The sequence below is a fragment of the Homo sapiens genome, chromosome 1 (assembly GCF_000001405.40).
Source record: "Homo sapiens chromosome 1, GRCh38.p14 Primary Assembly".
In the NCBI taxonomy this organism is placed as follows: domain Eukaryota; kingdom Metazoa; phylum Chordata; class Mammalia; order Primates; family Hominidae; genus Homo; species Homo sapiens.
Window position 1 is genome coordinate 14,653,428 of NC_000001.11, and position 12,690 is coordinate 14,666,117.

At 47.1% G+C, this 12,690-nt stretch overlaps 1 protein-coding gene across 11 annotated transcripts in view, besides 1 other annotated feature; it reads left to right on the plus strand.

Moving 5' to 3' along the window:
• Window positions 1-12,690, plus strand: part of KAZN (kazrin, periplakin interacting protein) — a 1,225,220-nt gene that overhangs the window by 760,604 nt on the left and 451,926 nt on the right. The window lies entirely within an intron of this gene.
• Window positions 7,456-7,515: an enhancer, noted in NCBI's record as "active region_227". NCBI's record gives its function as "activates an Ori minimal core promoter by ATAC-STARR-seq in GM12878 lymphoblastoid cells {active_cell/tissue: GM12878}" and the evidence as "EXISTENCE:reporter gene assay evidence [ECO:0000049][PMID:35858748]".

The window sequence follows — 12,690 nt, forward strand, 5'->3', positions numbered from 1 at the left end:
AGGAGGCAGTGGCCACCCAGCCCCAGTCAGCTGGCTCCATCTGAGAATGTAGGCCCGGGGCGGCCAGACCGGTCTCAGTTTTCCATAAAAGCTGGAAGCCCGGACTTTGTAGGAAATCTCCTGAGTTTTAAATGTGTATAACTCATCCCAGATTTGTTTAAAAGGATGAAAAACAAAAAACACTGTTCAAGCCAAACAAAACACACCCGTAGGCCACATCCCTCGGGGTTTTGACCTCTGTTCTCAGGATAAAATGAGTCAAGGCTTGTAATACCAACATGGTGCCTGGGAGACAGTAGGCATTCAATAAATATTGGTTAAGAGTGAATAAAGGTTAAGTCAAAATCTGGCAATAAACCCTGAAGAGCACCTAAGGGTTCTCTAAAATGAATACTTTACCTAAATCAGGCTTTCTCAACTGCAGTGCTATTGGCACTGGGGCCAGATACTTCTCTGTTGCGTGGGGCTGCCCTGCACACTGTAGCATGTTTAGCAGTATCCCTGGCCTCCGCCTACCAGATGCCAGTGGCATTCCCTTTCCTCTCCCCACAATTATAACAACCAAAAATATCTCCAGGCCAGGCACGATGGCTCACGCCTGTCATCCTAACACTCTGGGAGGCCAAGGCGGGCGTATCGCCTGAGTTCAAGAGTTCAAGACCAGCCTGGCCAACATGGTGAAACCCCTGTCTCTACCAAAAATACAAAAATTCTCTGGGTGCGGTGGCAGGTGCCTGCAATCCCAGCTACTCAGGAGGCGGAGGCAGAAAAATCGCTTGAATCCAGGCGGTGGAGGTTGCAGTGAGCCGGGATCGTGCCATTGCACTCCAGCCTGGGCAACAAGAGTGAGGCTTCGTCTCAAAAAAAAAAAAAAAAAAAAATCTCCAGATATTGCCAGCAATGTACTTGAACAGCAAGTTACAGGTTAACTCAATGCCATGAGGAGTTTGCTGTAGTCTGTTGGTGGACAGTCAGCCGCAGGTAGAGAACCCAGAAAGAGGTCCCTAAATCCCCCCGCTGCCTCTCATGCTCTGCTGTATCAGTCCTGGGGAGGAACCAGGAGGAGAGGAGTTTCATGCAAAATAGCCCCCGCTTTAAGACTCACTCACCTAAATTTACCTGTCTCCTTCCCACCCCAGCCTCCCACATTTCCAGGTCACACTGTGAGCCTCCTCTGCAGTGGAAAACAGGTATGTTCACCCCAGGATGGGCATCCACCTCCTCCTCCCTGGACAGAGATCACTTTGTGGCTGCTTTTGAGGCCTTTGGGATTTCGTCTTGGGCCTGGTTGCTTCTTTGGTTAATGTTTACAGAAGTACTGTGCAAGACTGGACATGCTGGCAGCTTCTCACACCTCCAGCCCACCTGTTGGAAAAGGGCTGGAGGAATAGTCCCCTCCTCTCCAGGGATGCCAGCCTGGCCCATGTGTCCACAGGTACAAGGAGGACACTCTCACCCAGGTCTTGGATGGAATCAGTAATTAAAGCAACTGGGGGATTCTGGAGCAGCTGTTCATTTTGTTGAACAAGAGTAGCTGGGGGGCCCACTGACCCAGGCAAGTGGTTCTCAAACTTGAGTGAGCCCGAGAACCTCCTGGAGAGCCTGTTAAGCTGTTGGGCCCAGCCCCAGAGTTACTGACTCAGAAGGTCTGGGCCAGGGGTCTGAGGATTTATGTGTTCCGTGGTGCTGCTGCTCCTGGCCTAGGGGCTGCACTTTGTGAACACTCATCTGGCCTCTGGTGAACACTCATCTGGCCTCTGGTGAAGACTCCAACCCCCTTCCTCTATCCATTTTCTCCCCAAGGCAGAGAAAGGAGGATGGGAGGCTAGGGGGTGTTTAGGAACCCACCTCCTCTGCTCTTTCTGGATTCTCTACCTGTCCACCAACAGACCACAGCAAAGTCCCATGGCATTGGGTTACATTGTAACTTGCTCTGCAAGTATGAGGCTGGTCCGATAAATTTATATCCCTACCAGCTTCTTCTTTTCATAATTATCTTTCTTGTCCCTTTGATAATGTGGTGCATTCAGGTGGGTCTCCGGGTCATTACAGTGAATTAGTGAAATCCCTCTTTATGGGTTTCTGTTTGTTGGAGCTTAACGGAGGTGGTTTAAATCACCAGCCGTCAGAATTGCCTTCTCCAGCAAGTGCTTGGATAATGCTTCATTATAAGCAGGCTTAGCTGCTGCGACAGATATAGATTAGAACAATTTGCTTCTCTGCTGATGGGGAAACTGTGACATGACATTTTGGTGGCTGTGGTACAGAGCTGTTTTCCAGAAAGGAAAAGCCTCTCGAACTTTTGCATCTACCGAATAATTCAGCTGTGTATGCTTACATGCTGCTACGGGTCTAGGGGTGGGAAGTGTGCCGAACCCCTGTCGACTCCAGTGGGGATGGCACCAGGTTCAAGCGGCCAAAGAAGGGACCCAGAGCCAGCAAATGAGACACAGGGTTTTACTGGGGGCTTACATACAGTGGAGAGAGCCCAGCAGTGGTGTGCTGGGCAGGGGAGCCGCAACAACTTGCTGAAGGCGTGCAGCTTATACAGCGTTTTCACTTGGCACCCTCCCCTTAACAACCTCTGCCTGGCAACCTTCATTCAACCCACACTTGGGACCTCCATCCCCTGTATAGCCTGTGTTCCATGGGACAGGATGGGGGCTCAGATGTTCCTCAGAGACAAGGAATGAATCTCTGGGATGACCACTCCCAGATTCCCTAGCTCAGGACACACGTTCAGGCGCATCTGCCATACAAGGTCATTCTCGGGGTAGGCTTAAGGTATTGCTGTCAGATGCATTTGCCATCAGGGAGGGAGCTGCTCTCTCAGAGTCGGATGACCCACTTATCCCAATTTGCTTGGGACTTTTCTGGTTTCAGCAGTGACAGTTTCCGGTCCCAGAAGCCTTAGTTCCACCTAACCCAGACAGTGGGGTCAGCCTAGCTCAGAGGAGGATGCTGGCTGGAAACCCCAGGCAGGCAGAGCTCAGAAGTCTCAAGATACCAACAATTGCCACCCAGTTTTGAGTACTTACGTGCCAGATGCTCAATCCTCATGTCTCACATTGTATTAGTCCGTTCTTGCATTGCTATCAAGAACTACCTGAGACTGGGTCATTTCTAAAGAAAAGAGGTTTAATTGACTCACAGTTCTGCAGGCCCTACAGTAAGCACGGCTGGGGAAGCCTCAGGAAACTTACAGTCATGGCAGAAGGCAAAGGGGAAGCAGGCACAGTCTTACATGGCCGGAGAAGGAGGAAGAGAGCCAAGGGGACGGCGCTACGCGCTTTTAAACCACCAGATCTCGTGAGAGCTCACTCACTATCACGAGAACAGCAAGGGGGAAATTCATCCCCATGATCCAAGCACCTGCCCACCAGGCCTGTCTTCCAACACTGGAGATTACAATTCAACAGGAGATTCGGGCAGAGACACAAATTCAAACCATATCGCATATCATCCTTCAAACAATGCAAAATCGTGCTATTATCACCATTTTACAGGCCAGGAAACTGAAGTTGGCGGAGATTCCTCTAGCTGGCAGAATGATTCTGGCCACTACACAGTCAGGCCACCAACCTAGGGCTGTCTTCTTCAAAGCCCATGGTTTTAGGGAGCACCTCCTAGGGTGGGGTGAAGAGAGAGGCTTTTTTTTTTTTTTTTTTTTTTGAGACAGAGTTTCACTCTTGTTGCCCAGGCTGGAGTGCAATGGTGCAATCTCGGCTCACTGCAACCTCCGCCTCCTGGGTTCAAGTGATTCTCCTGCCTCAGGCTCCCCGAGTAGCTGGGATTACAGACATGTGCCACCACACCTGGCTAATCTTGTATTTTTAGTAGAGACGGGGTTTCTCCATGTTGGTCAGGCTGGTCTCGAACTCCCGACCTCAGGTGATCTGCCTGCCTCGGCCTCCCAGAGTGCTGGGATTATAGGCGTGAGCCACCATGCCTGGCTGGGAGAGGCTTCTTAAAATGCAGATTGGTGGACCTAGAGCTTCTGCTACAATATATCAGGGGTAAGCTCCAAGAATTTGCATTTCTCACAAGTTTCCAGGTGATGCTGATGCTAGTGGCCCAGGGACCACACTTTGGGGACACTTAAGTACTACCCCACTTGGGCTGTGTGAGTTGCCGCCTTTGCCGCACTGAGGACCTGAAGTTTAGGAGGCATCTCCCTATCATGAGCATTCCTAAAGGGTGGGATTTGTGCAGTCCTGTCATGAAGACTGGGGGCTCTTGGGCTGTGTCTTGGGCCCAGGACCAGACATGAGTTAAGCTCCTTGAGACAGGGACAAGTCCTTCTTGATTCCAGGTGAACCTTCCCCATCCCCCCAGAGCACAGCCTGGAACCCAGTAGGCTCTCAGCAGAAATTGTGGAATGAATGAAATTCTCCCTGTCTCCTGCTCCTAGTGTTTGTTTGTTTGTTTTTTGTTAGTCTCCTGCTCCTAGTTTTTTGTTTTATTTTGTTTTGTTTTTTTAGTTAGCCCAAGACAAAGCTGGATTCTTGCTCAGGTGACACTCATGCCACGTGAAGTGGTCTATCTTGAGACCAAGGCGTGGAGTCCATAGGCACATGGCAGTGCAGGCACCTGGCGCTGGTGTCCCAGACCCTGGAAAAGTCAGTGTCCTTAGGCAAAGCAATTGCACCTGGAGTCTTGTAGCGACCTGTGTGCAGTAGGGCTGGGGAAGCCTTGAGAGGATCTGGAAGGGGGAATTTCCAAAGCACTTGTTAGGAGTGGAATCACAGCATTTATAAAACCCCGACAGAGCTGGAGCGGGACCTGCCACATCTTAGCTCTGTGACCTTGGGTGAGTTTTTTCAAATTCTCAGTGCCTAGTGAAGATCATAACTAGGAGGGACCTGGGATACAGATGATACAGAAATTGTGTTTGGGACATAGTAAGCACTAAATAAATGTGAGCTGATATTTTTATGTATCATCATTATTATTCACTGTTTCACCAACTCTGAGCCTCAGTTCCTCTATCTGTGAATGGGAGTAAAATTCCTTCCCTGTAGGAAGGGGCAGTTATGTGAACCAATGTGTGCAAAGTATTGTGCACAGAGCCTGGGTCCTAGAAAGTCCTCGAAAAATGTCAGCTGGCCTCAGTACCTATAACCTTTCTACATCAAAGTCTTTTGAGAATCTGATAAAAACTGTGGACTTGGAAAATATATGTATATATATATATGACAACATTTTCCACTTTGGGACAGGGAGTTTGGCTCTCTAAGCCATCTCTTGAATCAGATTTAGAATCTCTGCAGTGGAAGGGAACTCACTTAGGCTAGTGTCCACTGGTGAGTTCTCTGCATCCCCACATTCCCTCGCCCCACCCTAGACTCCCCTACATGTGAAGCCTCCAGTGTCTTCACTACCAGGTTTCTCCACTGCGTGCTGCTTTAGGGCACTCCCAGCAGGATGCAGTTTACTGTAATTCACACAGGAATGTTTAAGAGACTGGCAAGAGCTTCCACTTTCACCTGCTTTCACGTTATTTATGTTTTAAAAGAGGCTGCCAGGGCTGGGAGCAATGAATGGCTCACGCCTGTAATCTCAGCACTTCAAGAGGCCGAGGTGGGAGGATCACATGAGGCCACAGTTCGAGACCAGCCTGGCCAACATGGTGAAACCCCATCTCTACTGAAAATACAAAAATTACCTGGGCATGGCGGTGCACATCTGTGATCCCAGCTACTTGGGAGGCTGAAGCACAAGAATTGCTTGAACCCCGTTGTAGTGAGCCAAGATCCTGCCACTGCACTCCAGCCTGTGTGACAGATCAAGACTCTTGTCTTAAAATAAAATAAAATAAAAATAATAAATAAATAAATAAAAGAGACTGCCAGGAAAGGACAGAATCTAGCCAAAGGAATGTATTACAAATGGTGGAATTAGAGATAGTTCTATAGGTCACTCAGGCGAGGAGATGGCCTTTTAACCTTAATGAAATCTAGGACACTCTGGGGTTTTATGGGGGAGTCACATGGGGGGAAGTATTGGGAAGATAAGGGAATAAAAATCATCACTTACCTAGCCTCTCTGCTCACCTTTAAGTCCAAAGAGTTCCTTTTCCTTTGCTATCTCCGTAGGCAGCACTTTATGTTGTGTTTTTTATAATCAGAGGAAACCGATGGCACCATAAACTTCTAGAAAGTCAACTACCACCTTGGTTCTGTGTGGGAAAGTAAAATTTTATGTTTTCCATAAATACAAGATGAAGACAGCATTTAAAGCCTATCCCTGAATTGGATAGATCATTTTAAAGTGAGTTTGTTGCATTTAGAAACCATGATCCCTATTGGCCCTACAACAAGGCAATTTTCATATCAGGCAGGTCCTGGCATCTGGGGAGACTGGCTGTTTCCTTTGTTGCCAGGGAAATCATTTCAAAATGGAAAAAACCCTGAATGCCAGCCCCCAGCAATCTTCAAAACAATACACATTCTTTAAAAAAAAAAAAAGAAAGCCAAACAACAAAACAATAGGTAACACAAAACCCAGTACATTACTGTACACTAGAAAGGTTTTTTTCTTTCCCAACTGAAGGGATGAAAGGGCATCATAATTTTGTTTTCAAATGTGTTTAAGAACCTGTTATTAAAACGGAATTAAACCCAAGTCCCAGGGCAGCCGCTCTGCAACTACCGGGAGATAATCTTGATAATGCGATTAGGGCCTGCTTCAGTGGGGCTGGGAGGGGAAGGGAAGTCGAGATGCCCAAGCGGGAGCTCTACTGAGTCACCTGCAACTGCCCGTGCCCGAACACAGATGCCTCGATCTCCCCATAACCGGGCAATGGACCCCTGCTCTTGGGAGCTACTAGGGGCCTGAAACAATAAGACGAATAATAACATTTATTGATGGCTCCCTATAAGCTGTGCTAAACTTTCACATGTATTTTCTCATTTCTATCCTGCAAGGCAGATACTGTCATAGACACACCTGCACACACACCCATGTTCAGACCAGTGCAGAAATCATCAATGCTGATGCTGTCTTGATGGACAATTTTGAAATTTCCTTCATCACAGATCTTTTGCACCCATCGGAGTTCTTAAAATATTGCTTGAAAATATTCTTTATCTCTCCAAGTTTCTCTCTCTCTCTCTTTTTTTTTTTTTTTTTTTTTTTTGGCTTCACTGAAGCCACACGGCTGATCAGCACCAGAGCTGGGATTCAAACCCAGGTCTGCCGATGGCTGAGCCTTGCCTTTCACTGCTATGATCTATCTACAGGATTGTGTGGTTTGGTACCTAACTGCAAACGACTCAGATCTCTTGGAAAACTTTTATGTACTAGCAATCTCCACTCCCACTCCACAGCGAAATAACCAGGCGGCTGTGATTGCTGCTGAAATCGTGGCCAATGACGAACAGAAAGTGGCTGTGCAAATAAGATCCTCCTCATTTATGTTACATTTTAGCCTTTGCTTTTTTATCCATCTGGAAAGCAATGCCCACTCTGCACCTCTATCTAATGGGCCCGTTCACCAGCAGGCTGTGACAGCCGCATCCTCCACAGCACTGTACTTTCACCGGAGACATCTGAAGTCGCAGAATAACGTCACTGATTAAGAGGCCAGAGGAAAGAAGGAAGTAAGTGTTCGTTGAGCTTTGACTCTGTGCCGAGCCCTGTATTAGGCCTTTTACTTACTAGATCTCATTGAAATGTCACAAAAATTCTGTGAGGGAGATGGTGCTCTTCTCCCCATTTGTAGATAGGAGAACTGAGGCTGGAGAAGCTGAGCAATTCTTGGGCCAACAGGAAAGGGTGATGTTACTTGCTAGAGGTCAGAGGCAGTGAATAAAGGCTATGAGGACAGACCTACTCTCTGATAATTCCATCTGAGCGGTCTGTAGCCCTTTCTGCCTGGTTGAGCCATCTTTATTTTCTCATGGATGGTCTCTTGAGGCCCCATGGACCTGTGGCCAGTTGAACATTATTCTGGGTTAAGAGCAGAGCTTGGCAAACTTTCTCCACAATGGGCCAGATAGTAACTATTTTAGGCTTTGAGCAACATATGGTCTCTGTTGCACTATTCAACTCTGCTGTTGTAACAGGAAAGCAGCTGTAGACAATATGTAAATGAATGGATTTGGCTATGTTCCAATAAAACTTTATTTACAAGAACAGGTGGTGGGCCGTAGTTTGCTGATCCTGGTTAAGAGCATAGTTTCTGGCCAGGCTCTAGCTCACACCTGTAATCCCAGCACTTTGGGATTGGGGGACGGGGGGGCGGGAGGGAGGGGAGGGAGGGGATCACCTGAGGTCAGGGGTTTGAGACCAGCCTGGCCAACATGGCAAAACCCCCGTCTCTACTGAAAATGTAAAAATTAGCTGAGCATGGTGGCACATACCTGTAATCCTAGCTGCTTGGGTGGCTGAGGCGTGAGGATCACTTGAATCTGGGAGGCGGAGGTTACAGTGAGCCGAGATCACGCCACTGCACTCCAGCCTGGGCAACAGAACGAGACTCTGTTTCAAAAATAAAAGCATGGTTGCTGAAGTCGGATAGGCCTGGGGTAGAATCATAGCATCATCATCTGTTAGCCGTGTGATCTTGAGAAACACTTTTTAGATTCTGAGAAATGTTCCTTATACCATGAGCCTCAGTCTCTTCATCCATAAAGTGGGTCTGTAGTCACACCTACCTCATCTGAGGTGTCTGTGTGCCCTGGGTCAGGAAGGAGGCAAGAGGAGGCTCCCAGGGGAGTGGTCAACTCCATCAGCTTCATTATTTCCTCTCCCCCAGGGGCAGGCTTTAGCCAGCGGCCGGCAGGACTGGACAGCAGCTGTTTCCTTTGAGCGATTGCCCTGTTACTAGGTGTCAGTGTGGGCACAGGTCCAAAGGAGGCTGCTGGGACCATCCGCAGTGTCGGGGAAGTGGGTTGCTGACACCATAGGCCAGGGTGGTTTACTTGATACTAAGCCCCAAGAGTGGGCAGAGACACCCCATGAAGCTTCTCACTTCCAGTCTGAGCATGTTTGGGTCGGCTCCATCCCTTGTCTTCGGGACTAAACAGGAGGCCGATGTTAGGCTGTGGGAGGACGAAGTTCAGCTAACACATCAGGTCCCAGGCACCATTCCTAGCAGCTCCTCCCTCCAAACCATGAGTATTTTGGTTCTTAAAAGCTAAGTACATTTCTGTTTTATATGATGTGATTATCTTTACCTCTGACCAATACTGGTCTTTCTTGATATCTTTCTTTTAATGGGGTGTGTGTGAGTGTGTGTGTGTGTATATGAGTGTTTGCCTGTGTGTGTGTATGTGTGCATGTGTATATGTATGAGTGTGTGTTGGGGAAGGGAGGGAGGCAATTCACAAGAAACACCTCTCTCTCCTAAACTTCTCATTTTTCTAAGAAAGACACTATTTACTGATCACCTGCCATGTGCCAAGTACTAACCTGAGTGCTTTTCATCCATTATTGCCAATACTTATATATATATGTATATATTATATATGTAAATATATATATACACATATATATGTATATATTATATATGTAAATATATATATATATGCACACATATATATATATATATATTTTAGAGAGGGGGGATCTCACTGTGTTGCCCAGGGTGGAGTTCAGTAGCACAATCATAGCTCACTGTAGCCTTGACCTCCTGGGCTCAAGCGATCTTCCTACCTCAGCCTCCTGAGCAGCTGGAACAGCAGGCGTGCATCACCATGCCTGGCCAGTTTTAAAATTCTTTTTTTCCATACAGACAGAATCTCACCATGTTGTCCAGGCTGATCTCAAACTCCAGGACTCAAGCAATCCTCCTGCCTTTGCCTCCCAAAGTGCCGGGATTACAGGCACACCCAGCAATGTGTGTATATCTTTTAAGTAGTACATGGGAGGCATTCTTACTCCTATTTGCACATGATGAAACTGAAGACAGGAAGGGAACTTGGTTCGCCGGGGCCACACAGGCAAGAGAGGGAGAGTCAGGAGCCAAGCCCAGACCTACCTAATACAGAAGCACTTTTTTCCTTTCTCGATTGCCAGCTATCCCTTCTCTCTTTAACCCATCCTCTGCAGAGTCAGTGTTCAGAGGTGTCTTTCTAGTACATATTTTGGAGCAGAGTTTGACATTCCCTGTCAAGTTAAAAGGACACCAACGTATTTCATATCCTCATATTAAAAGCCAATGAGTTATACCAATTAGGATGGCTGCTGTAAAAAACAAAACAAAACAAAAAACAAACAACAAAAAAACAAACAGAGAAATCACAAGTGCTGATGAGGAAACACTGGAATCTTTGTGCACCGTTGGTGGGAAAGGAAAATGATGCAGTTGTTACCAATGACAGGATGATGATTCCTCAAACATTTTGAAAATAAAATTACCTTATGATCCAGCAATTCTGCTTCTAGTTATGTACCCAAAAGAATGGAAAGCAGGGTCTTGAAAAGATATTTGTACACCAACTTCATACTAGTGTTATTTTCAAAAGCCAAAAAAAGCTGGAAACAACCCAAGTGTCCGTCAACAAACGAGTGGATCAGCAAAATGTGTTCTGTCCACACAGTGGAATATTATTCAGCCTTGAAAAGGAAGAAAATGTTGACACATGCTACCAGATGGGTCGACCTTAGGGATAGTATGCTAAGTGAAATAAGCATCCCAAAAAGACAAATATTATATGATTCCACCTATATGAGGTAGTTAGAGTAGTCAGATTTATAAAAACAGAAAGTAGAGCTGACTGGCCGGGCGTAGTGGCTCACGCCTGTCATCCAAGCACCTTGGGAGGCCGAGGTGGGCAGATCACCTGAGGTCAGGAGTTCAAGATCAGCCTGCCCAACATGGCAAAACCCTGTCTCTACTAAAACTACAAAAATTAGCTGGGCATGGTGGTGGACACCTGTAGTCCCAGCTACTCGGGAGGCTGAGGCATGAGAATTGCTTAAACCTGGGGGGCAGAGGTTGCAGTGAGCCAAGATTGTGCCACTGCACTCCATCCTGGGTGACAGAGTGAGACTCTGCCTCAAAAGGAAGTAGAATGGCGGTTGCCAGGGGCAACCATGTTGATATTGGTTTGACCAATCTTTTGCTTTAGTGAAAAAAACAATTTAGTGATTCCTACCTGATTATGCATCAGAATCTTCTAGTAAGCTCGTTAAAAATTGGTCACTGTGACAAGTACAATATTCCAACCCTACTCCAGATTTCCACTGGCAGTGGGGCCCAGGGATCCTTTTCTTTTTCTCTTTTTTTTTTTTTTTTCTGAGACAGAGTCTCGCTCTGTCACCCAGGCTGGAGTGCATTGGTGTGATCTCGGCTCACTGCAAGCTCCGCCTCCCAGGTTCACGGTATTCTCCTGCCTCAGCCTCCCGAGTAGCTGGGACTACAGGTACCCACCACCACGCCTGGCTAATTTGTTTTGTATTTTTAGTAGAGATGAGGTTTCACCATGTTAGCCAGGATGGCCTTGATCTCCTGACCTCGTGATCTGCCTGCCTCAGCCTCCCAAAGTGCTGGGATTACAGGCATGAGCCACCGCACCCGGCTGGATCCATATTTTTATTTGGCTCCTCTGCTGGTTCTAATGCAACCAACCCAGTGTTTGAGAACCAACAGCACAAATGATCCTTCTGCCCAGGCATGGGACTGGTTCGATATTTTTACATTTGGGGTTGTCCATGTACCCCTCTTTATTCCGCTGCCCCAACAAAGATGGTCCTTTCCACTTAGATACCTGTGACCAACCTCATCTTGTGTCACACCACCAGCATCCAGCCAGATCCTGCGGACAATGGGGTATTCAAACAAACAGGAGATCCATGGGCACTGAGCAGACCTCTCTGTCCTCTTCTAGCAATCTTTAAATATGTCCAGTGGCTGCCTCTTTTTTTTTTTATTACTGCTGTTGCACTGAAAATGTGTCATCACTGTTTGCTGTGCAACCTTTTCATCCCATGGACTAGTTTGGCATCAAAGGAATGACATTTATCGACTCTGCTGATAGAATGATTGATGAGTAAGTCATGCAATGGTTTCAGTCCCCGTCAAAATCAATTATTTAAGGGCTATACATTTATATTTGCTGTCAAGAAGCCTGACGTCACCAGAGTCAACCTTCAGGTGCGTGTTAGGGGCTGGGGTGGGTGTGGGGAGGCAGAATAGTGGCGTGGTTGAGGGCACAGGTTCTGTAGGCCAACTCCAGGCCTGGAATCAGGGCCAGAACCTCTCAGTGTATCCGTTTCCCTGATATGAAAAGTGGAGGGGCTAACCATCCTTACCTCCTAACGATTCAGTTAGAGAAAGCCCGGAGACCATTAGACACTGGACTTGGCCCACTGTCAAGCCTGAATCTTCACCATTATCATCACAGCTCTCCATAGCCTAGTTGTTCTGTTAAAGCACACGGCTGCCTAGTTCGGGACAAAGTCAGCCCCTCCCCACTAAAGGCTGAAGTGCACCACCAGTGTCCAAGGGTGTCATTTTCCTTTGGCAGTTTGGAGGCTACAAGAAGGAGAAGCTTTGCTCAAAAAAAAAAAAAAAAAAAAATAACATACAGAAAGGTCAGGAGATGGATAACAATGTCTTCGGAGATGAGTTGAGCTGAGACCTCAGCCATCTCATCCTTGGAATTTAAAAAAAAAAAGCTTTACAGAGAAGCATATATTTTTTATTAACAGCCCAGCAATATCTATAATGACGGAGAGGGTCTG